A 27466-nucleotide genomic window follows, 5' to 3' on the forward strand; every position below is an offset into this window, starting at 1 on the left:
TCTTCTCTACTTAAAAATAATAATAATAATAATTAGCCAGGCATGATGGCACATGCCTGTAGTCCTAGCTACTTAGATGGCTGAGGTGGATGGATCACTTGAGCCCAGGAGGTCGAGGCTACAGTGAGCTATGATCTCATCACTGCACTCCAGCCTGGAAAACAGAATGAGACCCTGTCTCAGGGAAACAAACAAACAAAACTAGAAATTAATTAAAACATAAATAATCCAAAAGGCCCTTCTACCTGCAAATTTTTTAACTCTGTATTAAACAAACCGTAAGAGAAAATACAAACCAAAATTGCAGAACTTAGAAATACTAGATCTTATTCATTCTAGCTAACTATATTTTTGTGCCCATTAACCACCCCCACTCTCCCTTCCAATACCCTTCCCAGCTCCTGTTACCATCATTCTGTTCTTTATTTCCATGAGTTCAACTGTTTTAATTTTTAGCTCTATCTACCCAAAAGAATTTAAAATGTTTTTTTAAGTTTAAAAAATAAGAAAAAAAGTAAAGAAAATAAAAAGCTAACAGTGAAAACACTATTGTATTAGCCTATTCTCACACTGCTATTAAGATACCACCTCAGACTGGGTAATATATAAAGGAAAGAGGTTTGATTAACTCACAGTTCCACATGGCTAGGGAGGCCTCAGGAAACTTAGAGTCATGGTAGAAGGTGAAGGAGAAGCAAACCATGTCTTACCTGGTGACAGGAGAAAGAGCAAGAGAGCCAGGAAGTGTTACACTTTTTTTTTTTTTTTTTTTTTTTTTGAGACAGAGTCTCGCTCTGTCGCCCAGGCTGGAGTGCAGTGGCATGATATCGGCTCACTGCAAGCTCCGCCTCCCAGGTTCACGCCATTCTCCTGCCTCAGCCTCCCCAGTAGCTGGGACTACAGGTGCCCACAACCATATCCCACTAATTTTTTTCTGTATTTTTAGTAGAGACAGGGTTTCACTGTTAGCCAGGATTGTCTCAATCTCCTGACCTTGTGATCCACCTGCCTCAGCCTCCCAAAATGCTGGGATTACAGGCGTGAGCCACTGTGCCTGGCCAGAAGTGCCGCACTTTAAAACCATCAGCTCTTGTGAGAACTCACTCACTATCACAAGAACAGCATGGGGGAAGCCGCCCCCATGATCCAATCGCCTCCCACCACCAGGTCCTTCCCTCCACACGTGCGAATTACAATTCAAGATAAGATTTAGGTGGGGACACAGAGCCAAATCCTATCAACTACATACAGGATAGGATAAAAGTAGAAATGAAAAAATATGCAACCCATAATTATATAAAAGAATATAAATACCCATAATAAAAGAATAAAAATACACGAATTAAATCTCCAACATAAAAAGCTGAAACATAAACAACAAAGTACACCAAAATGAAGCAAGAAAGGTGTGAGCAGAAATCAATGAGGTGGGAAAAAACATTTTTAAGGAAAGTGATAAATCAAAATCCTGGCTCTTTGAAAAATATGAACAAAATAGATAACTTACTAGCTAAAATAATCAAGAAAAAAGGGGAGATAGCAAAGATAAACAAGAAAAGAAATGAAAAGAGGGCAATTACCATTGCTGGCTTCCATATAATGGAGTGAACGCTGTGTATGTTAGCTATAGTAGTAGTTGGCATTTTATTGTCATATAATATTCCATTGTGTGACTATAGAAACATTTACATATCCATTCTACTCCTGGACATTTGGGTTGTTTAGAGTTTGGGTCTACTATGAGCAAAGCTGCTATGGACATTCTTGTAATGTCTTTTTGTGAACATGTGCATTCACTTCTTTTGGGTATACACCTGCCAGGAGGATTGCTCCAATAAGAGGTAAGCATCTACCTAGCTTTATTAGAGACTGTCAAATGGCTTTCCAAAGTGGTTGTACCAATTTACTGTCCATCAATATATGAAAGCTTCAGTTGTTTCACAGCCTCACCAACATTTATTATTGTCTTTTTCATTTTATTTAAATGTTTAATTCTGAGCATAGAGCAAATATTAACAAACACACATGGCAGTCAATTCAGAAGAAACTTTCTAAAAGTCTACTGTTACTCACTTGAAAGCTACCCAAAGTTTTGTGCTACCCAAAGGATAATACATTTCTTATTCTAATCCATGAGGAGTTTTCAAAGTATTCATGGCAAAGAAGGACACCTATTTAAATCTCCCTGACAAGAAGCAAAACATAAGACTTTGGTATACACAATAAACTGAGAAAATGAAAAAGTGTATAAATTTAAAGAAAATATAATCTTACACGTGATTTAGCTATGCTTTAAAAATGTTTATGTATATTTAAATACATTTTCTTAAACTTTATATTAAAACAAACATTTTGTTAAAAACAGACTTAGCAGTTATGAATTCAAGTCCAGAAACATGGTAAAAATACAATTGGTGCTTTTTCTTTTTGGGATGCCTAGTAAAGTAACTAGATAACCATAAAGATTGAAGACTCCATAGTTTCTACTATAATTACAGTATAACTTTTGAAATCTCATTAATAAACAGGAACAAAAATACAAATCATACAAAAAAAAGTGGGTCAGGTATGGTGGCTCACACCTGTAATCCAAGCACTTTGGCAGGCCAAAGCAGGAGGATTGTTCAAGACTATCCTGGGCAACAGAGCAAGACCCTGTCTCTACAAAGAAAACAAAAAACTTAAAAGAGAAATGTAGGACTTAGACAAACAAAACTACAGATTTTTATTGAGTGATAATAGTGCACTTGAATAAATGGAGTGGCAGTATAACATGCTGGCAAAGAATTTGAGCTTTGGAATCAGGAAGACCTGGCTTCAAATGCCACATTTCTTAAAGGAATAACTGCTATGATTCAGTTTCTTCAACTTTAAAATAAAGTGGAGATAATTACAATAACACTTCTCATAGCCCTGAGGTAAGGACTGAAGGCTTTTGTCCAAATAAATAAAAATATCATTAAGCATAAATCTGTGAGAAGTATTCATTTATGAAAACTATTGTGCAGGTGCTGGAGAGGATGTGGAGAAATAGGAACACTTTTACACTGTTGGTGGGACTGTCAACTAGTTCAACCATTGTGGAAGCCAGTGTGGCGATTCCTCAGGGATCTAGAACTAGAAATACCATTTGACCCAGCCATCTCATTACTGGGTATATACCCAAAGGATTATAAATCATGCTGCTATAAAAACACATGCACACGTTATGTTTATTGAGGCGCTATTCACAATAGCGAAGACTTGGAACCAACCCAAATGTCCATCAATGATAGACTGGATTAAGAAAATGTGGCACATATACACCATGGAATACTATACAGCCATAAAAAATGATGAGTTCATGTCCTTTGTAGGGACATGGATGAAGCTGGAAACCATCATTCTGGGCAAACTATCACAAGGACAGAAAACCAAACACCGCATGCTCTCACTCATAGGTGGGAACTGAACAATGAGAACACTTGGACACAGGGTGGGGAACATCACACACCGGGGCCTGTCATGGGGTGGGGGAGTGGGGAGGGATAGCATTAGGAGATATACCTAATGTAAATGACGAGTTAATGGGTGCAGCACACCAACATAGCACATGTATACATATGTAACAAACCTGCAGGTTGTGCACATGTACCCTAAAACTTAAAGTATAATAATAATAAAAAAAGGAAAACTGTTGTGGAAAAGACAACACAAAGAGGAAAACAAAGAAAAGTATATTTAAGACTCTAGAAAAGATAAAAGACAGACTATTCATTAAATGATATCCTTACTTTATTTCTTATACTAGAAAGACTCCAAATTAAAAACTTAAGTAAGGAGTGGAGGAAGCAATCTTATAATACTATATATCTTTCAAAATGAATATATTATCTTGGAAAATGTATTACAAAGAATCACTATCTTTATCATAAATAACATTTATCAATTAAAAAGTATGTATGAACAGTCCAGTAAAACAACAAAATGATATGAACAAGAAACAACTGATAAAAGGACTCTACCACCAATAAGCAAATTAAAACATGGTTGTCTTAAGTGAGTAGTCAAAGACACACAAAGTTTGTAAGAATAAGAATCCATTTAGGCCAGGCGTGGTGGCTCATGCCTTTAATCCCAGCACTTTGGGAGGCCAAAGCGGGTGGATCACAAGGTCAGGAGTTCAAGACCAGCCTGGCCAAGACGGTAAAACCCCATCTCTACTAAAAATACAAAAATCAGCCAGGCGTGGTGGCAGGAACCTGTAATCCCAGCTATTCGATAGGCTGAGGCAGAGAATTGCTTGAACCTGGGAGGCAGAGGTTGCAGTAAGCCAAAATCACGCCACTGCACTCCAGCCTGGGCGTCAGAGCAAGACTCTGTCTCAAAGAAAAAAATCCATTTAAAAATATGAAAGTGTGATGAGGGAAGGAAAAATATCTACTACATACTTACTCTAAGTCAGGCACTGTGGTAGGTGATTTAAATATATTATTTCAATTATTCCTTTAAGGAAGATATTATTGGATTTATTTTATAGATGAGGAAACAGAAGCCTCAGGAAACCAAAACATTTTTGATACCTTCCCCTCCCGGGGAGCCTTTCACCTCATACCAATCCCACAACTAGCAAGGCTTCTTCTAGGAAAAAGCACAACCAGATTACACAGGTATCCACAGAATATCACTAAGTAAAAATGTGAGTTTATGCATTGATAAAAGACAGGGGAGGTAAATATGGATGATGTCAAAGCTGGTTAGACTTTCATTATTTTGTCTTTAAATTTTCTTAATCTTAGTGGTGTTTTAAGAGCATGTTTGGAGATTCTAGCAAGGGAGCATAGCTACCTGTATACCCTTGACCGAAGTATGGTCCTCCTCAATCAAGGAAGGATCTGATCAATCACAGGGCTTTGGTTGGGACACACATGTAGCCATGAGGGAGGAAGGGGACATCTGCCTAGCCAGTCAGATCAGCTGAATGAACCCTGGTGATCAATGAGGCGACAGATGTCACAGCCAGATTGCCCTCACATCCCTTAATGGTGTTTTGAAAACTGAAAGAGCTACTGGAAGTTTTTGTGTAGGTCCAAGCTAAGATGTAAACGCAGTGTGCTTGGCTAACTGTGAAATATGTTCACTTCCACATTTATGTTGTTTCAATGGTTTAAAAAAAGGATTTGTCATCATACATACATTATTTTCTTATACTCATTAGCAGGTGGATAAGGATATTATTAATACTGTAAATTATTTTGTTTAGTGAATGATTTAAAGACATCCTTTTTGTCCGGATAAGTAAAACACAGTTGTTTAAAAAGTTGAAGCATGTTAATTTTCTTCACAAAAATGTATTCATGTAAGTTACAAAAACTCTGCAAAATACCGAAAATTAGAGACAAAAGAAAAATCATCCATTTCTTACATGATCCAGAGACAGACACTGAATTTATCTGAATTTGATTTTTATTATGTATTAAAATACTTTTTGCTTTTTTAATAAAAAAATCTACAATGTTTATAAAAACAGCCATCTGCTCCCCACACTTCTACTTCCCAATTTTTGTTCACTAAGTTCAATTAATCTGAATTTAGCTATGTCTTATCTATTTACAGCTGTTTCTTTCCTGCTCCTTGCCTCCCAAATACGCACTTCTCCTCCCTCAATTATCCAACAGTTATATTACAAATTAATATGTATATTCCATATGTATGACTGTGCAAATAATATTCATAATTGAGCCATGCAAAAAAAAAGAATTCACTTTTTTGCAAAGTAGACTAGCAAAGATGAAAATGGATGGCAGCCAGTGTTGGAATGGTCATAGGTAAACAGATAAATCTTACATACAGCTGGTAGGAAAGTATGTATTCAGCCTTTCCTACAGCTGGTAGGAAAGTGAGATTTTTTTCTCAAAAGCCTTAAAAAGGTTATTTTCTTCTGACACAGCTGTTACGTCTCAAGAAACTTACCTCAAAGGGATGAACAAATGAGCTTATGTACAAGAATACTCACAGTAACACTGTTTATTGCAGGAGTCCCCAACCCCCAGGCCACAGACCAGTACTGGCCTGTTAGGAACCCGGCTGCACAGCAGAAGGTGAGCGGTGGGCGAGCTAGCATTCTCACCTGAGCTCCATCTTCTGTCAGATCAGTGGAGCCAACAGATTCTCATAGGAGTGTGAACCCTATTGTGAACTGCACATACGAGGGATCTAGGTTGCACACTCCTTATGAGAATGTAATGCCTGATGATCTTCTGAGTTGGAACAGTTTCATCCCAAAACCACCTCCCCAGCTCTGGTCTGCTGGAAAAAATTGCCTTTCACGAAATTGGTCCCTGGTGCCAAAAAGGGTGGAGACCACTGGTTTGTAAGACAAACATGAAACTATTTTAACATCTAATAACAAGAGATTTGTTAAGTAAATCATAATTGTAGTAAATACTCCATCTATACAGTATCTGGACTAACCTGCTTCTTTCATGAAAAACACTAATGAAGTATATGGGGAAAAGAAAAGTGGTAGAAGTGATGCTACATTACCTCCAAGGCTAGGTTTGAAATGGTCATGTAGATTCTACCTTGTACTCCTGAAACAGTCACTCTTGGAACTCTGCCACCATGCTGTGAGGAAGCCCAAACAGCCTGTAGAGGTCCACATACAATGCAACTGAGGCTACCAACCTACAGCCTCAGCTGAGTTCTCAGCAAACAGCTTGTACCAACTTGCCAGTCATATGAATGAGCCATCTGGAACGGATATTCCCACCCCAGCTAACACAACCTTGCTCAAATTACAGATTTGTGAGCAAAATAACCTATTGTCCTTGTCTAAATCATAACATTTTGGGTGGTTTGTTACACAGCAATAGAAAAATAAAATATAACTTAAGTATATAAAGAAAGAAAAAAACTTTCCAGGCACAAAAAAGTTTCACACAGCAATAGACATAATTTGAAAACACAGAAGTGACCAATAGTAAGTGACAGTGAGGTATGTTACTGTATTTCTTCTTGATATACAGATGCTTTTCAACTTACAATAAGGTTACATCCCAATAAACTCACTGTAAATCAAAAAAATCCTAAGTCAAGCCATTATAGATTAGGGACCATCTGCAGTGTTATTCAGCTATACTAATAATCTTGCAAAATTAAAATAGTATGCTTATGATTTAGGGTGAAACTAGACAAACTATAACAAACATCAAAAATAAAAGGAATTACATAGCTTTATTTGTAACACAATAACTCTGGGTCCTTTAAGAAGCTGCAGCACAATTTTAGATCTAAGCCTAAAAACATCTTCTGCCCTAAATAAATTCTCATTTAGTCATTTCAGAAAAACTGAATGAACAGTAATGACTTTGACTCCCTACAACTAGTTGCCTAGGATTCTATATTTAACCTTAAGCAATGTGTACCACGCCTCTAGAACAGTTTTAATCTCACAACACTTGAGGAGAGAAGATTACAGGCTACAGGCAAAGACTTAGTGCCAAAGATGAATAATCAAAACTGACTTTAGAGAACCAAAAATGACTTCAGGTCACTTCAGCTAGCAATCCACCAAGTATTCAGCTTTGATTGAAATTCATCTTGTCATACAGCTCGACATACCCAAATATTACTGTGCAGAAAAAGAGCAGAAGCCATTTAGTTCTATAACCCAAATCACAGCACAACAAGGTTATGTCCAGCATTCACGGCCAGAAGCAAATGGTAACCAGCAGTGATTTCAGAGTGGACATTTCTTTTCTAACTTAAAGATGGTATAATGAAATATTTAAAATGATAGGAATCTCTCTGAAATATACAAAGCTTCCACCACAACCAAAAATATTTCACTATCAAAATTAAGCATAATGGTAAAATATTCCTCTAGTACACATCATAAAGGCAAATATTAGATGGTAACGAGGTAGAGAACTTCAAAATTATCTCTTACAAATCTCAAGGGGTAAAATTGATCTGCTTCAATGGTCAAAGCTAAAAATCAATATGTATAGCCTGGCCATCAACTGATAACAGCCTGAAAGAAAAACAGTGAGAAATCATGTAGATAACCACACTGACACTATTTTCCTATTTAATATTGAGGGAAACAAACAAGGTAATGATTAAATCTAAAATTGTTTTTGGATTGCAATTTTCCTTTAAAAAGTTTAGCCAAGTACCTAAGTAAAATGTCTTTCAGAGAACACACATTTATTAATACAGACTAAAAATATCACAATATACACACATAATCCGATTAATATGTATAAATTAATTTCATATTTTAAATGCTTGATTAAAAAGTGAGCAGACTTATCCAAATTTATCAAAATTTTACATGCATTAAATTTCATAGTGATCTTCCACGGTGCTTCCAAATTATACAGAGATCTGCAGCTTCAGGCTTATTATTAATCACTGTTGTGTTACAGGTTTGTGTCAAAACACAAAACATGAACCACTCAGCCCTCAGTCCTTCATGCTTTCCATGTTGACTGGGGAATTTTTCTGTAGGGCGGTAACCACTTGTTACTCCTTCACATCCATAAAATAATCTTCCTAATGCTACAGATTATAGGATTACTACCAAAAATTGTGTAACGTATACATTGATTTTATAGAAAGATACTTTTTTTTTTTTTTTTTGAGACAGAGTATTACTCTGTTGCCCAGGCTGGAGTGCAGTGGAGCAATCCTGGCTCACTGCAACCTCCAGTCTCCCAGGTTCAAGTGATCCTCCTGCCTCACCCTCCCAAGTAGCTGGGACCACAAGCACGCACTACCACGACAGGCTAATTTTTTTGTATTTTTAGTAGAGACAGGGTCTCGCCATGTTGGCCAGGCTGGTCTTGAACTCCTGGCCTCAAGTGATCCACCCACCTCAGCCTCCCAAAGTGCTGGGATTACAGGCATGAGCCAAGATGCCCAGCCAGAATGATACTTTCTGAATCATAAGTAAATAGGGTAAAGGAGAGAGCCTCATAGACTTTTTCATGAAGAATATTAAGTTACTTTTGAAAGGTGAATTTCTAAAGAAGCCTTTTTATTTTTAGTTAACTTCAGATTCTCCCCAAACAAAACAACTATGGCTACAGTCATCCACGAAGACCTGTAGATTGAAAGATGACAAGAAGTTTGTAAATATTAAGAGAGAATTAAAACGGACATATTTTTTCTTATATTTGAAACACTGAATACTCCAGCTAATAATACGGCTTACCATAAGAATAGCTCACTCCATCAAGTAGTAAGTTTCCCTACTCCCTTGCGTGCCTAAATCATATTCTATCTTTGTCAATTATAAAATACCACATAATAATCTGTCAGAATATTTCCATTAAAATATGTGGTAATGTTCAAAAGTTAATTAGTTTAATAATCCAAACCATTTTCAATGAGAGATGGAGTTCCTAAAATTCAGTGTATTCTGGAACTTTCTGTAAACTTTCAGAAGAAATAGGATGAAATAAGAAAGAATACATTGTCACAGTGTTTTTGTAATCAAATACATTTATAAAGAACAAAAGGAACCGTAGAATTACAAATGATGGCAAAACTCAGTAAATGTAAATTTATGATTTGTACATTCTATCATTACTAATATTATTAGTAAACATCAAAAAAGCATGTAAGAATTTTTGAAATAAGAACTTACCCTCACTTCCAACAACAACAAAAAATCATGAATATCTGTGAGATGTTACAATGCTTTTCCTTTCAAATCATACTGTGTGCGAGTAAAAGCTACCCATGTGGTAGGAAGACCATAATACCTAATACCATCACTACCACCACCACACACACAAACCCCTCAAAGAAAAAACGACTGAAACTTCCCCAGAGATCCTCGAAAAATTCAAAAGTGAAGCAAAGAAAAAACGTAAAACATTATAGCAACTCAAGTACATATATAATACCAATCCTTTTATTTAAATTATGGAATGTTTCAAACATACAATAGAGTGATTTTTTAAAATCCATGTGACTTTATCAAATCTTAGTATTTGAAACTTGTAAGCCCAAATCCTTTTTAAGAAACAATGAATTAGAGAGACACAACGGAAGCCTCTGTCCTGCCTCTCCCCAATCCCACTACCCTCCGTCTATCCTCAGAAGCAAGCATGCTCACTCTGGTGGGTTACCACCACAGCTATTCTTTATACCAGAATCTCTGGGACACATTTAAAGCACTGTGTAGAGGGAAGTTTATAGCTCTAAATGCCCACAAGAGAAAACAGGAAAGATCTAAAATTGACACCCTATCACAATTAAAAGAACTAGAGAAGCAAGAGCAAACACATTCAAAAGCTAGCAGAAAGCAAGAAATAACTATGATCAGAGCAGAACTGAAGGAGATAGAGACACAAAAAACCCTTCAAAAAAATCAATGAATCCAGGAGCTGGTTTTTTGAAAAGATCAACAAAATTGATAGACTGCTAGCAAGACTAATAAAGAAGAAAAGAGAGAAGAATCAAATAGATGCAATAAAAAATGATAAAGGGGATATCACCACCGATCCCACAGAAATACAAACTACCATCAGAGAATACTATAAACACCTCTACGCAAATAAACTAGAAAATCTAGAAGAAATGGATAAATTCCTCGACACATACACCCTCCCAAGACTAAACCAGGAAGAAGTTGAATCTCTGAATAGACCAATAACAGGATCTGAAATTGCGGCAATAATTAATAGCTTATCAACCAAAAAAAGTCCAGGACCAGATGGATTCACAGCCGAATTCTACCAGAGGTACAAGGAGGAACTGGTACCATTCCTTCTGAAACTATTCCAATCAATAGAAAAAGAGGGAATCCTCCCTAACTCATTTTATGAGGCCAGCATCATCCTGATACCAAAGCCTGGCAGAGACACAACCAAAAAAGAGAATTTTAGACCAATATCCCTGATGAACACTGATGCAAAAATCCTCAATAAAATACTGACAAACCAAATCCAGCAGCACATCAAAAAGCTTATCCACCATGATCAAGTGGGCTTCATCCCTGGGATGCAAGGCTGGTTCAACACACACAACTCAATCAACATAATCCAGCATATAAACAGAACCAAAGACAAAAACCACATGATTATCTCAATAGATGCAGAAAAGGTCTTTGACAAAATTCAACAATCCTTCATGCTAAAAACTCTCAATAAATTAGGTACTGATGGGACATATCTCGAAATAATAAGAGCTATCTATGACAAACCCACAGCCAATATCATACTGAATGGAAAAAAACTGGAAACATTCCCTTTGAAAACTGGCACAAGACAGGGATGCCCTCTCTCACCACTCCTATTCAACATAGTGTTGGAAGTTCTGGCCAGGGCAATCAGGCAGGAGAAGGAAATAAAGGGCATTCAATTAGGAAAAGAGGAAGTCAAATTGTCCCTGTTTGCAGATGACTTGACTGTATATCTAGAAAACCCCATTGTCTCAGCCCAAAATATCCTTAAGCTGATAAGCAACTTCAGCAAAGTCTCAGGATACAAAATCAACGTGCAAAAATCACAGGCATTCTTATACACCAACAACAGACAAACAGAGAGCCAAATCATGAGTGAACTCCCATTCACAATTGCTTCAAAGAGAATAAAATACCTAGGAATCCAACTTAAAAGGGATGTCAAGGACCTCTTCAAGGAGAACTACAAACCACTGCTCAATGAAATTAAAGAGGATACAAACAAATGGAAGAACATTCCATGCTCATGGATAGGAAGAATCAATATCGTGAAAAGGGCCATACTGCCCAAGGTAATTTATAAATTCAATGCCATACCCATCAAGCTACCAATGACTTTCTTCACAGAATTGGAAAAAACGACTTTCAAGTTCATATGGAACCAAAAAAGAGCCGGCATTGCCAAGTCAATCCTAAGCCAAAAGAACAAAGCTGGAGGCATCACGCTACCTGACTTCAAACTATACTACAAGGCTACGGTAACCAAAACAGCATGGTACTGGTACCAAAACAGAGATATAGACCAATGGAACAGAACAGAGCCCTCAGAAATAATGCCGCATATCTACAACTATCTGATCTTTGACAAACCTGACAAACACAAGCAATGGGAAAAGGATTCCCTATTTAATAAATGGTGCTGGGAAAACTGGCTAGCCATATGTAGAAAGCTGAAACTGGATCCCTTCCTTACACCTTATACAAAAATCAATTCAAGATGGATTAAAGACTTAAATGTTAGACCTAAAACCATAAAGAGCCTAGAAGAAAACCTAGGCATTACCATTCAGGACATAGGCATGGGCAAGGACTTCATGTCTAAAACACCAAAAGCAATGGCAACAAAAGCCAAAATTGACAAATGGGATCTAATTAAACTAAAGAGCTTCTGCACAGCAAAAGAAACCACCATCAGAGTGAACAGGCAACCTACAAAATGGGAGAAAATTTTTGCAACCTACTCATCTGACAAAGGGCTAATATCCAGAATCTACAATGAACTCAAACAAATTTACAAGAAAAAACCAAACAACCCCATCACAAAGTGGGCAAAGGATATGAACAGACACTTCTCAAAAGAAGACATTTATGCAGCCAAAAAACACATGAAAAAATACTCATCATCACTGGCCATCAGAGAAATGCAAATCAAAACCACAATGAGATACCATCTCACACCAGTTAGAATGGCGATCATTAAAAAGTCAGGAAACAACAGGTGCTGGAGAGGATGTGGAGAAATAGGAACACTTTTACAGTGTTGGTGGGACTGTAAACTAGTTCAACCATTGTGGAAGTCAGTGTGGCGATTCCTCAGGGATCTAGAACTAGAAATACCATTTGACCCAGCCATCCCATTACTGGGTATATACCCAAAGGATTATAAATCATGCTGCTATAAAGACACATGCACACATATGTTTATTGCGGCACTACTCACAATAGCAAAAACTTGGAACCAACCCAAATGTCCAACAATGATAGATTGGATTAAGAAAATGTGGCACATATACACCATGGAATACTATGCAGCCATAAAAATAATGAGTTCATGTCCTTTGTAGGGACATGGATGAAGCTGGAAACCATCATTCTCAGTAAACTATTGCAAGGACAAAAAACCAAACACCGCATGTTCTCACTCATAGGTGGGAATTGAACAATGGGAACACATGGACACAGGAAGGGGAACATCACATACCAGGGACGTTGTGAGGTGGAGGGAGGGGGGAGGGATACCATTAGGAGATATACCTAATGCTAAATGACCAGTTAATGGGTGCAGCACACCAACATGGCACATGTATACATATGTAACAAACGTGCACGTTGTGCACATGTACCCTAAAAGTATAATAATAATAAAAGTAATAAAAATAAAAGAAATATAAAGATTTATATTTTTAAATAATTGTATTTTACCTATCCAGACAAAAAGTGTATCTTTAAACCATTCAGTAAACAAAATTTACAGTATTAATAATATCCATATCCACATGCTAATGAATATAAGAAAATAATATATATATGGTGACAACTCCTTTTTTTTTTTTTTATGGTGATGCAGTCTTGCTCTGTCACCCAGGCTGGAGTGCAGTGGTGCAATCTGGGCTCACTGCAACCTCCACCTCCCAGTTTCAAGCGATTCTCCTGCCTCAGCCTACTGAGTAGCTGGAATTACAGGCACACACCACCACACCCAGCTAATTTTTGTATTTTTAGTAGAGATGGGGTTTCACTATGTTGGCCAGGCTGGTCTTGAACTCCTGACCTCAGGTGATCCACCCACCTCAGCCTCCCAAAGTGCTGGGATTACAGGCATGAGCCACCGCGCCCAGCCGACAACTCCTCTTTTTTTAAACATTGAAACAACATAAATATGGAAATGAACTACTCACATACGTTATTATATCGCCCATATCCTTCTGCAGCTTGCCTTTTTTCACTCAAAGTTTTCTTTATGAGATTTATCCATGTTAATTCTTTTCAATCTAGTTTGTTCATTTCTAATTGCTGTATAATATTCTACCACAAGGATATAAGTTTAATTATCCAATCTCTTGTTGGTTAACTTTTACATTCTGCATCATCTTATGTTACTGCAAACACTACTGTGATAAATAATTTTTCCAAATTTCTTTGTACACATGTATTTTTTGGCTCAGGTATGTGCATCTTCAACTTCATTAAAGATTATAAAATTGCACTCCACTTTACCTAGCTGAGTTTCCACTGGCCCATATCTCTGCCAGCAATTCTGTCAGACTTACATGTTCGCCAATCTGAAGATTATAGAATAGTCATTTTAACTTTCATTTTATCCATCAGTTTCTAATTCAAGCATCTTTTCCCAAGTTTACTGACCATTCCAATTTCTTCTTCTATAAAGTAATTCTTCACATTCTATGCCCATTTTGTCTTAACTTTTCCTTTTCATTATTAGGCTATTTTTCATATCCTGGATACTAATCATTAAGAAAAGTTTCCCTACAACAAGATCACAAAGACAGTTATGTAAATTTTCTTTTAAGTTTTTTTCAAGTTTTCCTTTTCATATTTTAGTCTTATGTCAGAAAAAAAATCTAACACTCAAATGTCAACAAAAAAACTAATTGAATAAAAATGTGGTACAGTCACACTACAAAGTACTAATTTCAAAAAAGATGAACATTTCTATAAACAGATACAAAATGATCTCTGAGGTAAGTTTAAAAAGGTACAAAATGAAATACGTCCCATCAATACCTAATTTATTGAAAGTTTTTAGCATGAAGGGTTGTTGAATTTTGTCAAAGGCTTTTTCTGCATCTATTGAGATAATCATGTGGTTTTTGTCTTTGGCTCTGTTTATATGCTGGATTACATTTATTGATTTGCGTATATTGAACCAGCCTTGCATCCCAGGGATGAAGCCCACTTGATCATGGTGGATAAGCTTTTTGATGTGCTGCTGGATTCGGTTTGCCAGTATTTTATTGAGGATTTTTGCATCAATGTTCATCAAGGATATTGGTCTAAAATTCTCTTTTTTGGTTGTGTCTCTGCCAGGCTTTGGTATCAGAATGATGCTGGCCTCATAAAATGAGTTAGGGAGGATTCCCTCTTTTTCTATTGATTGGAATAGTTTCAGAAGGAATGGTACCAGTTCCTCCTTGTACCTCTGGTAGAATTCGGCTGTGAATCCATCTGGTCCTGGACTCTTTTTGGTTGGTAAACTATTGATTATTGCCACAATTTCAGAGCCTGTTATTGGTCTATTCAGAGATTCAACTTCTTCCTGGTTTAGTCTTGGGAGAGTGTATGTGTCGAGGAATGTATCCATTTCTTCTAGATTTTCTAGTTTATTTGCGTAGAGGGGTTTGTAGTATTCTCTGATGGTAGTTTGTATTTCTGTGGGATTGGTGGTGATATCCCCTTTATCATTTTTTATTGTGTCTATTTGATTCTTCTCTCTTTTTTTCTTTATTAGTCTTGCTAGTGGTCTATCAATTTTGTTGATCCTTTCAAAAAACCAGCTCCTGGATTCATTGATTTTTTGAAGGGTTTTTTGTGTCTCTATTTCCTTCAGTTCTGCTCTGATTTTAGTTATTTCTTGCCTTCTGCTAGCTTTTGAATGTGTTTGCTCTTGCTTTTCTAGTTCTTTTAATTGTGATGTTAGGGTGTCAATTTTGGATCCTTCCTGCTTTCTCTTGTAGGCATTTAGTGCTATAAATTTCCCTCTACACACTGCTTTGAATGCGTCCCAGAGATTCTGGTATGTGGTGTCTTTGTTCTCGTTGGTTTCAAAGAACATCTTTATTTCTGCCTTCATTTCGTTATGTACCCAGTAGTCATTCAGGAGCAGGTTGTTCAGTTTCCATGTAGTTGAGCGGCTTTGAGTGAGATTCTTAATCCTGAGTTCTAGTTTGATTGCACTGTGGTCTGAGAGATAGTTTGTTATAATTTCTGTTCTTTTACATTTGCTGAGGAGAGCTTTACTTCCAACTACATGGTCAATTTAAACCCACAGCCAATATCATACTGAATGGGCAAAAACTGGAAGCATTCCCTTTGAAAACTGGCACAAGACAGGGATGCCCTCTCTCACCACTCCTATTCAACATAGTGTTGGAAGTTCTGGCCAGGGCAATCAGGCAGGAGAAGGAAATAAAGGGTATTCAATTAGGAAAAGAGGAAGTCAAATTGTCCCTGTTTGCAGACGACATGATTGTTTATCTAGAAAACCCCACTGTCTCAGCCCAAAATCTCCTTAAGCTGATAAGCAACTTCAGCAAAGTCTCAGGATACAAAATCAATGTACAAAAATCGCAAGCATTCTTATACACCAACAACAGACAAACAGAGAGCCAAATCATGGGTGAACTCCCATTCACAATTGCTTCAAAGAGAATAAAATACCTAGGAATCCAACTTACAAGGGATGTGAAGGACCTCTTCAAGGAGAACTACAAACCACTGCTCAAGGAAATAAAAGAGGACACAAACAAATGGAAGAACATTCCATGCTCATGGGTAGGAAGAATCAATATCGTGAAAATGGCCATACTGCCCAAGGTAATTTACAGATTCAATGCCATCCCCATCAAGCTACCAATGACTTTCTTCACAGAATTGGAAAAAACTACTTTAAAGTTCATATGGAACCAAAAAAGAGCCCGCATCGCCAAGTCAATCCTAAGCCAAAAGAACAAAGCTGGAGGCATCACACTACCTGACTTCAAACTATACTACAAGGCTACAGTAACCAAAACAGCATGGTACTGGTACCAAAACAGAGATATAGATCAATGGAACAGAACAGAGCCCTCAGAAATAATGCCGCATATCTACAACTATCTGATTTTTGACAAACCTGAGAAAAACAAGCAATGGGGAAAGGATTCCCTATTTAATAAATGGTGCTGGGAAAACTGGCTAGCCATATGTAGAAAGCTGAAACTGGATCCCTTCCTTACACCTTATACAAAAATCAATTCAAGATGGATTAAAGATTTAAACGTTAGACCTAAAACCATAAAAACCCTAGAAGAAAACCTAGGCATTACCATTCAGGACATAGGCGTGGGCAAGGACTTCATGTCCAAAACACCAAAAGCAATGGCAACAAAAGCCAAAATTGACAAATGGGATCTAATTAAACTAAAGAGCTTCTGCACAGCAAAAGAAACTACCATCAGAGTGAACAGGCAACCTACAACATGGGAGAAAATTTTTGCAACCTACTCATCTGACAAAGGGCTAATATCCAGAATCTACAATGAACTCAAACAAATTTACAAGAAAAAAACAAACAACCCCATCACAAAGTGGGCGAAGGACATGAACAGACACTTCTCAAAAGAAGACATTTATGCAGCCAAAAAACACATGAAGAAATGCTCATCATCACTGGCCATCAGAGAAATGCAAATCAAAACCACTATGAGATATCATCTCACACCAGTTAGAATGGCAATCATTAAAAAGTCAGGAAACAACAGGTGCTGGAGAGGATGTGGAGAAATAGGAACACTTTTACACTGTTGGTGGGACTGTAAACTAGTTCAACCATTGTGGAAGTCAGTGTGGCGATTCCTCAGGGATCTAGAACTAGAAATACCATTTGACCCAGCCATCCCATTACTGGGTATATACCCAAAGGATTATAAATCATGCTGCTATAAAGACACATGCACACGTATGTTTATTGCGGCACTATTCACAATAGCAAAGACTTGGAACCAACCCAAATGTCCAACAATGATAGACTGGATTAAGAAAATGTGGCACATATACACCATGGAATACTATGCAGCCATAAAAAATGATGAGTTCATATCCTTTGTAGGGACATGGATGAAATTGGAAACCATCATTCTCAGTAAACTATCGCAAGAACAAAAAACCAAACACCGCATATTCTCACTCATAGGTGGGAATTGAACAATGAGATCACTTGGACACAGGAAGGGGAATATCACACTCTGGGGACTGTGGTGTGGTCGGGGGAGGGGGGAGGGATAGCATTGGGAGATATACCTAATGCTAGATGACACATTAGTGGGTGCAGCGCACCAGCATGGCACATGTATACATATGTAACTAACCTGCACAATGTGCACATGTACCCTAAAACTTAGAGTATAATAAAAAAAAAAAAAAAAAAAAAGGTACAAAATGGGCCAGATGCCGTGGCTCACATCTGCAATTTCCAACACTTTGGAAACACTTTGGGAGGCTGAGGCAGGTGGATCACCTGAGCCCAAGAGCTCGATAGCAGCCTGGGCAGCATGGCGAAACCCAGTCTCTACCGAAAATACAAAAAAAAAGCCGAGTGTGGTGGCACACACCTGTGGTCCCAGCCACCCTGGAAGGTGGAAAGACAGCTTGAGCCCAGGAGGCAGCGGTTTCAGTGAGCCAAGATCACACCACTGTACTCCAGCCTCGGAGAAAGAGACCCCACCCTGGGTCAAAAATTAAATAAAGTGCATGATGGTGTATGCTATCTTTTATCTTTTATATTAAAATATAAAAATTTATATTAAAAATATAAAAGATGTTATCTTTTATATTTTAGGGAGAAAATATCGTGGCACCCACCAAAGGTCTTTTTAGAGTCAACGAAGCACACAGATTCAAGAGACTACCCAAGATCACATTTTCTGTCAGTTTGTTCAGGAACCTGAGCTTGCCAGCAAGGCTACAATTGATGCTCTTCTCCTGCTGGAGTCCTTGCAGCAGGCTGGGCAGCACAGCTCAGGTGCATTAAGAAGAGAGCCACACTGGGTAGGTATGGGAGCCACCTAGGCTTAGGAACTTCCAACCACACAAGCACCAACCTTGTAACAACTCCATAGCCATAGCTTCCAGAGTTTCCATAGAAACCAGAGTCACTGCACTTAGGGAACCCCAAAGCTATGGCTTTCTACCAAGTATTTATCACTCTCCAGCTTAGATGCAATTTACCAATCAGGGGCCATTTTAACCACAAGCAGTCCTGCTTCATAATACAAATAATAGGTTGGTCTTATCGGGTTCCCAGAGACACAGAGTTCCAAAGTTAACTGAAATTCAAATTCCCACACAGAAAGGGGAAGGAAAGGTTTTGTTAACCCTTTACCTATAGATAAGCAGAGATATAAAGAAAGAGAGGTAAACACAGAGAAAGAGAAGATAGAGGCAGAAAGAGAGATTTATAGATAGAAAAATATATATTTATACAAATACATACATAAAAATATATTTTTCTCTATACATACAGAGAGAGAAAGCAAGAGAGAGGAGAGACAGACAGAAGATGAGACATATTTACCTATATTTGCAAACAGATATCTGATTGAAACAGATAACCTAGAAAAAATCATTTATGAGAAGGTCAGGAAAATATGAACTCTGCGGTGAAACCCTGTCTCTACTAAAAATACAAAAAATTAGCCGGGCATGGTGGCGGGTGCCTGTAGTCCCAGCTACTCAGGAGGCTGAGGCAGGAGAATGGCGTGAACCCAGGAGGCGGAGCTTGCAGTGAGCCAAGATCGCGCCACCGCACTCCAGCCTGGGCAACAGAGCGAGACTCCATCTTAAAAAAAAAAAAAAAAAAGTGAACTCTGACTGGATTTGTGGCTATTTTGAGAATGTATTAATTTTTTGGTCTTTAATGACTTTGTGAATATATTTACTTTTTAAAATTCCTTGTCTTCTACAGATACATATAAGGTAATTACAAAATGATATGATGTATAGATTTTGCTTCAAAATAATTCAGAGGAAGAAGGAATGTATATAAATGAAGTAGGAATATAAATGAAACAAAACTGGCCATGGTCACGTGCAGTGGCTCATGCCTGTAATCCCAGCACTCTGGGAGGCTGAGGCGAGTGGATCACCTGAGGTCAGGAGTTCGAGACCAGCCTGGCCAACATGGTGAAACCCCAGCTCTACTAAAAATACAAAATTCAGCTAGGCGTGGTGCCAGGCACCTGTAATCCCAGCTACTCGGGAGGCTGAGGCAGGAGAATCACTTGAACCCGGGAGGCGGAGGTTGCAGTGAGCCGAGATCATGCCACTGCACTCCAGCCTGGGCAACCACAGCAAAATTCCACCTAAAAAAACAAACAAACATACAAACAAAATTTGGCCATGAATGAAAAATTGTTGATGATGTGTTTATGTTGGGCAATTATATTATTTTTCTCAACTTTTTTTTAGGTTTGAAACTTTTTATTGAACACATGCACACATCCCTTGATAACTGGGGCTGCCTCGCCATTATTCTCACAGTAACCTTTCTGATTTTCACTTCATCTTCATAGCGATTCTGAATTTTTTTTTTTTTTTGGGCAAGTTCAAGTATGTCTTTGCAAGGACTATCTGGCATGCCTATTTTATGAGAGAGGGTTTGCAGAGTACCTACTCAGCCATATTATCAGAAACAGAAATATTTTCCAGATTCTGTTCTTGTCCTGTTTAGATTTTTTAAGTTCCAAGAGCAGTCACCTTCTACCAGACACTCTGATGTCAGAAGACAAAGCATTATTTTGTAAGTGGCATGATTTCTGCGCTCAAATTTAGAACAGAGACACAGCTTTCAACAACCCAAAAATAACTTACTGTGACTCACCAAATTTAAAAAGACGGAGATGATTAAAAAAAGAAAACCTTAGTTTACTATGTGACCTCTAAGTATCTCGGCTGAAAATTTTAAAGATAGAAAGGTAAATCAAAAGATATAGAGACTGTAATCAGGAACTTAATGAAGCGTTAAATCAAAGTATTTTTGGCATATGTGAAAGAGTTTAATTTTATCACATTTTTTACTGGCACTATAGCTATTTGCAAGTACATATAAAACTACAGTGTTACATATAAACTACCAAAAAAGAACTTTTTAAGAAATGAGACTAATTTAGTAACTTTATTTAAAAGTTTATCTTAAGGGAATAACTAAGGATGTCCATACAAAAGGATTTAGCCATAAGAATGTTCTCCCTGGCAAATCAATGGAAATTATTAAATGTGCAAAAGAGGACTGTAGGAATGAATTGCAATACCTTTAAATGATCGTATATCATAACCTTTTAAAATGATATTGAAGAGTTGCATAAATTGACTTAAACACACATTCGTAACACATCACTGAATAGGAGAAATATGAGCCAGCAAAGAACATAGAGTTGGGTTGGTCCAATTTCTACCAAAAAAAAAAAAAAGACTAATAGCATGACAGCAGAGAAGAGGGAATATGTCAACGCGTACATGTGTATATGTATATATATGCATAGCAAGTACGAATTTGAAAGGATATATATCAAATTTTTTACAGAGATTACCTCAGAGAGGTAAATGTTTAACTTTGGCCTTTGGTGTTCTGATTCCACATATTCTGAATTTTCTTTTTTTATTTAAATAGAGACGGAGTCTTAGCCAGAGCAGTGGCTCACATCTGTAATCCCAGCACTTTGGGAGGCTGGGGAGGGCCGACTGCTTGAGGCCAGGAGTTCGAGACCAGTCTGGTCAACATGGCAAAACTCTGTCTCTATTAAAAATACAAAAATTAGCTAGGTGCAGTGGCTCATGCCTATAACCCCAGCTACTTGGGAGGCTGAGACATAAGAATTGCTTGAACCAGGAGGCGAAGGTTGCAGTGAGCCGAGATCATGCCACTACGCTCCAGCCTAGGCAACAGACCAAGACTCTGTCTCAAAAAAAAAAAAAAGAGAGGGAGAGATGGGGTCTTATCATGTTGTCCAGGCAGGCCTTGAACTCTTAGGTTCATGCAATCCTCTAGCCACAGCCTCCCAAGCAACAGGGGCTACAGGTGCATACCACTGTGCCCAGCTTGAATTCTCTATACTACTCATATGAATCCTAAAATTTGTCACTATACAGTCTGATAACAATTAAAGTAAATTAGCATTGACTACTTTAAGTTTTTAGGTATTGTAATTATAGAAAATTGTAATGAGCTCATCCAATATATTTCTCCCCAATAAACAGCAGGAAACATCCATGAACTCTCAGACTTTTCCAGCCTTGAAAATGAAATATTTGCAGGAAACATTAACAGCTTGGAAGTACCAGAAAAATGACTACAAAGTAAACTAGAAAAATAAAAGAGTTTGGAGTACAAGGATTAGTAAATAAACTCATACCTAACCTACAAGATTTTTTCTTCTACTTGATCAGGTCTTCCAGAAGCTTCTTGGTCAGTCATTCAAGCATCTGAATTATAAAAAGGTAATCAATTCCCTACATCTAGCAGTGATTCAAGAATCACATATAAAGTACCATCTGCCAATAGTTCAAAAAGTTTCCTATTGGCCAGGCGTGGTGGCTCACACCTACAATCCCAGCACTTTGGGAGGCCGAGGCAGGTAGATCATCTGAGGTTGGGAGTTTGAGGCCAGGCTGACCAACATGGAGAAACCCCATCTCTACTAAAAACACAAAATTAGCCAGGCGTGGTGACACATGCCTGTAATCCCAGCTACTCGGGAGCCTGAGGCAGGAGAATCGCTTGAACCCAGGAGGCGGAGGTTGCGGTGAGCCGAGATCACTCTATTGCACTCCAGCCTGGAAATCAAGCAAAACTCCGTCTCAAAAAAAAAGTTTCCTATTAAGTGTTTAGGGGGAAAAATGGAAAAAGGTGGTTTTTTACTTTGATTTTTAATCAAAAGTCCCCTCTCATTGTGGTTGTGATTGTTCACTTTTAACATCACAGTGTATGGAACTAACAGTTGTTTTGGATAAAGGAATCTTCTTCTATTAAGGACATCTATGGGCAAGCAAATCATTTTAAAGATGATGACACAAAATAAATCAAGCACTCATGATGCAAATGGCTACTCATCCAAATAGCTGCTGAATAATAACCATCTAAGGACACTGACACCCAAGTAGCTAATGCAGATGACAATGTGAACTGAACAAGTTCCTTCAATACATAAACATCCACTCAAGAAAATGTCTATGATTCAGAAGAGAATAGACTCTACCACCTTGTTAGTTTAAGATGAAAACCTGGCTACAGTTACAAATTTCAAATGGAGAATCAGAGATTAATTACAAACTACAAATAACTATGAAAACATGAAGTATACTGATAATTAAATAATGTTAAACTCTAGGTTTTATTATAAGAAAAATACAGCATGTGGCTTAAACGACTGCTGGATAAATTACAAATAAATGGTACCCACATAATCTACCTTTCCAAAGAACAATCAAGCAACATTAAGGCAGCACCTTACAAATGTGTATAACACTTGAGTAATCTATTAGAGGTGAACACAAAGATGTATGTAACAGGGTGTTCATCATATCATGATGAGTAGCAACCAAAAAACAGGAGCCAAACAGTTCAATAGTGGAGGAAGAGTTAAATTATTGGTGCATCACAAAATAAATCATATAACAAGTTTCTTTTAATATCCCTGAGGAACATTTAATGACATAGTAAAATACTCATGAAAACAGCAAGAAAAATCAACACAATTTTATTTTAACTTGGTAAATGTGTGCATAAAATGCATAGACGCAGACAGAAAACTAGAAAGAGATAAACCAACATGTTAACAAAAATTATGTCTGGGTAGTGAGATTCCAGCTAATTTTGTTTTCTTCTTTAGAGTCTTCTAAGTTTTCTGTAGCAAACAGTAATTTCTTTTATTTAAAAGGAAGGGAATGGAACTCTTTTGGAGACTGGGTTTCCATTGTAAAAGACCATAATATATGAGCGTCAATCCCGCCAAAAAACAACACGTAGAATTCCTTCTCCCTGTTCAACAGGAAGCAATTTTGTATTTGCTCCTGGGTCTCTTCCTCTTCCACTCATTCTAACCTATCAACAATAAGGCTGGTAAATCTGCACCTCAAACACACATGTATAGACAGGTATAGACGACACTCACTTTTCTTTAAGTAACAATAAGACAATGATCATTGCACTAAAACCCCTTAGGAAGGCCAATATCATGACCCTACCTGAGCTGGGTCTTCTTCCAACTGCCCAGGTTCTTCCATGTCCCTTCCTCCCTGCTGGCTGTGCTCCAACTCTGATGACCTTCTTTCTCTTCCCACATCTCCCTAAGATCTCTCACACTTCAGGAAGGCTGAACCACAAAGTTCTTCCCCTAGATCTTCACATTCCAAGCTCTTTCTTATCATCCAAGGCCAGAATGCACCTTCTCAGAGAGGCCTTCCCTGACTGTTCTCCAACCTAACCTAGGCTAATAATGTGTGGCTCCACTCCACCTGCACACTGCCCCTAACAGTCACTCTATCACATACCCTGTTCTATGTTCTTCAGGACACTAAAACTATCCCAAATTACTGCGTTTTGTTTATTATCAGCCCCTCCTGTTAGGGCATAAGCACTTATATCTAGCACTTATACACTCCAAGAACTCGACAAAATTACTCAACACACTGTCTCATCTGTGAAAGATTCAGAGTTGAAAATCATTTGGCCCAAAGTAAACATTCAGGGCCAGGAATGGTGGCTCACACCTGTAATCCCAGCACCTTGGGAGGCTGCGACGGGGGATCACCTGAATCCAGGAGTTCAAGACCAGCCTGGGCAACATAGCAAGACCCCATCTCTACAAAAAAATACAAAAATTAGCCAGACATGGCGGTGCACGCCAGTAGTCCCAGCTACTCAGGAGGCTGAGGTGGTCACCTGAGCCCAGAAGGCCAAGGCTACAATGAGCCAAGATCACACCACTGCACTCCAGTCTGGGCAACCAGAGTGAGATCCTGTCTCCAAAAAAAAAAAAAAAAAAAGCAAATGTTCAATAAATTGTAAATTTTTTAATTGTTAATCTTTTTATTAAAATAGAATCTTGAACTCTAAATAGAAATTCATTGTACATTATTGAGGTGTCACAGATACATTTAAAAAACTAGAAGACAAGAGAGAGAAGATGCACTTCTCTCTATTCCTACTACTAAGTACAGCCAAAAACCCTGGACAATATATATAAAACAAATATAAGATGACAGATACATGGAAAGAAGGCAGAAGACCAGCTAGGGGCCTTGAAACCTGAGGATCAACACAGCAATGCATTCACTGAGTTGTCTTTTTGCCTCTTATATCCCAGATTGGGTGCTGAAAAATCCAAGGGTCTAGAAGCACCAACAGGTATACATACACAAATACACAAGAAAAAACAGCTCTCTCAAACCAAAGGACCAAGAGAGGGGCAGCCTGGCAAGACAGAAAATTTTTAGAAAATAGCTACTCTACTTCAGCCAAGCACCATGGAAAAACCACACCCCAACCCCACCAGCAAAGAGCAAGTAGGGAGCCTAGACTTCCAACCTCATGTGACCATGGCAAGGTGCCCCAGCATTATCCCCTGCCAGAGTGGAGTCACAAAAGACCAAGCAGAGAGCTGGGGCTTTCATCCCAACCCAACGACAGAAAGTCCTCCACCATGCTGTACAATGTTTCCCCAGTGATGAGGCATCCATTCCACTCCACCAGCATCAGTGGAGGCAATGATGAGGATCCCTTCCCCTCAGCAGCCGGGGTAGCATCAGAGGAGTCCTGGTGGAAAGCCTGACCTCGCACTCTCACCCAGCAGTAATGAGGAGCTCTTCTACCTCCTGAGGTGGCAAAAGCAGTCCACTGGGGATCTGTGCTTCCATCCCAACCCAGCAACATCAATGCAGCACCCTTCTTCCCCCTGCCAATTCAGTGTCAGAGGGGACTCTAAAATAGAAGATTCAAATAACATCCACCACCACCCAAAATGTTTTATGTGTATAGACTTTCAGTTTTGCAGGATAAAAAGGTTCTGGAGATCTGTCTCACAACAATGTGAACATATTTAACACTACTGAACTGTACACTTCAAAATGGTTAAAATTATAAGTTCTATGTTATGTGTTATCTACCACAATAAAAACTTTTTTAATGTACCAATACTAATCAAAAGTAAAAGACTGTTTATCACGCCATACAATTGCTCATTTCCTTAAGACATGTGGAATAGTAGTTATATATGATAAATAATTAAAATTATATTAACATAACAACCTATTTTACTGCTTTTGTGAAATACTATATTTGAAACTTAATCAATCCATGCCTGTGCTGAAGGTAAAACACACACACACACAAATTCTTCTAAAACTCTCAGCCTCTCTAACCACGGATTACCTGGTAAAATTATTCAAGTATTACTTTTTCTAATATAACAATAAGAACATTTAATGAGTGAAAATTTAATAGCAAAAACTAGACACATAGATTTGTTAGAAAAAAATACTGTCTCTGAGGCACAAATTTCTTAGCAGAATCTAAATCAGAATAATTAAAGACAAGAAGTGGTTTACCTCTATTTGGACTTCCAAAGATTAAGTTTACTATGCAAATCTGAGAGTTATTCATAATAGTTACTGACATTTTAAGTTTCATTATAAAAACCAAAATTTAATGTGTTTCATTTAAAGCAGAAGAAGCATGGTAAACAGTGTATTTAAGTGGTTCCATTCCACACTTCTAAGCAGTGTTACCTTCATCATGTTTTGCAAAACTCTGAATTGAAAGGTACACCTCTCTACCTCTTATAGAAAAAAAGACCTGTAATCCCAGCACTTTGGGAGGCCAAGGAGGGCGGATCACAAGTTCAGGAGATCGAGACCATCCTGGCTAACACGGTGAAACCCCGTCTCTACTAAAAATACAAAAACAAAAAATTAGCCAGGCGTGGTGGCGGGTACCTATAGTCCCAGCTACTCAGGAGGCTGAGGCAAGAGAACAGCGTGAACCCAGGAGGCGGAGCTTGCAGTGAGCTGAGATCACACCACTGCACTCCAGCCTGGGCGACAGAGCGAGCCTCCATCTCAAAAAAAAAAGAAAAAAAGAAAAAGAAAATGACTGGTTGAAATAATGCTGCATACTACTTTCCCCTCATGAGAATTCACAATCACAATACACATTAGCATATTAAAAACTGGGAAAAATTGTACAACTGAAAATATTTCTAAGTTTGAATCATTGCTTTCCAAATTTATATATAGCCAGGCCTACTTTATTTTTTACCTGTTAACACATCATCAAACACTAATATTCTCAAGCAAAGCTTCTCAAAGCATAAAGTTCAAACAAATCACCTAGAGATCTCACTAAAATGTAGATTCTGATTCAGAAGGTCTGCATGGGGCCTAAAAGTCTGCATTTCCAACAAGCTTCTAGGTGATGTCAATGCTGCTGGTCCAGGGATCACTCTTTAACAAGGGACTAGAGAAGACACTTTGAGAAAGGCTACTAGAGAGCCCTGTTTATCACTATACAGTTCTGTGATACGAATTTAGTACTTACAAACTCTACTGTATATATAATAAAGGCATATAAAGGACTAGAAGAGGATAGGTTAAAAACAGAATGGGGGCTCTATAATTTCAACTGGCAGAGTATTACAAGGAAAGGAATAAAAATAGGTCAGAGCAAGCAGAAAAATATAAAGGGACTCCTCCCCCTAAAAAAGGCAAAGGCCATGGGAGAAAGAGATGGAAGCTGGAGTT

At 38.0% G+C, this 27466-nt stretch overlaps 1 protein-coding gene and 1 pseudogene across 6 annotated transcripts in view; both read right to left on the reverse strand.

Annotated features, from left to right (window-relative positions):
- Positions 1-27466, reverse strand: part of ULK4 (unc-51 like kinase 4) — a 715505-nt gene that overhangs the window by 515304 nt on the left and 172735 nt on the right. The gene's annotated exons all lie outside the window — the stretch shown is intronic.
- RN7SKP58 (RN7SK pseudogene 58) lies at positions 4713-5017 on the reverse strand (annotated as a pseudogene).

Source organism: Homo sapiens, chromosome 3 (assembly GCF_000001405.40).
Source record: "Homo sapiens chromosome 3, GRCh38.p14 Primary Assembly".
In the NCBI taxonomy this organism is placed as follows: Eukaryota; Metazoa; Chordata; class Mammalia; order Primates; family Hominidae; genus Homo; species Homo sapiens.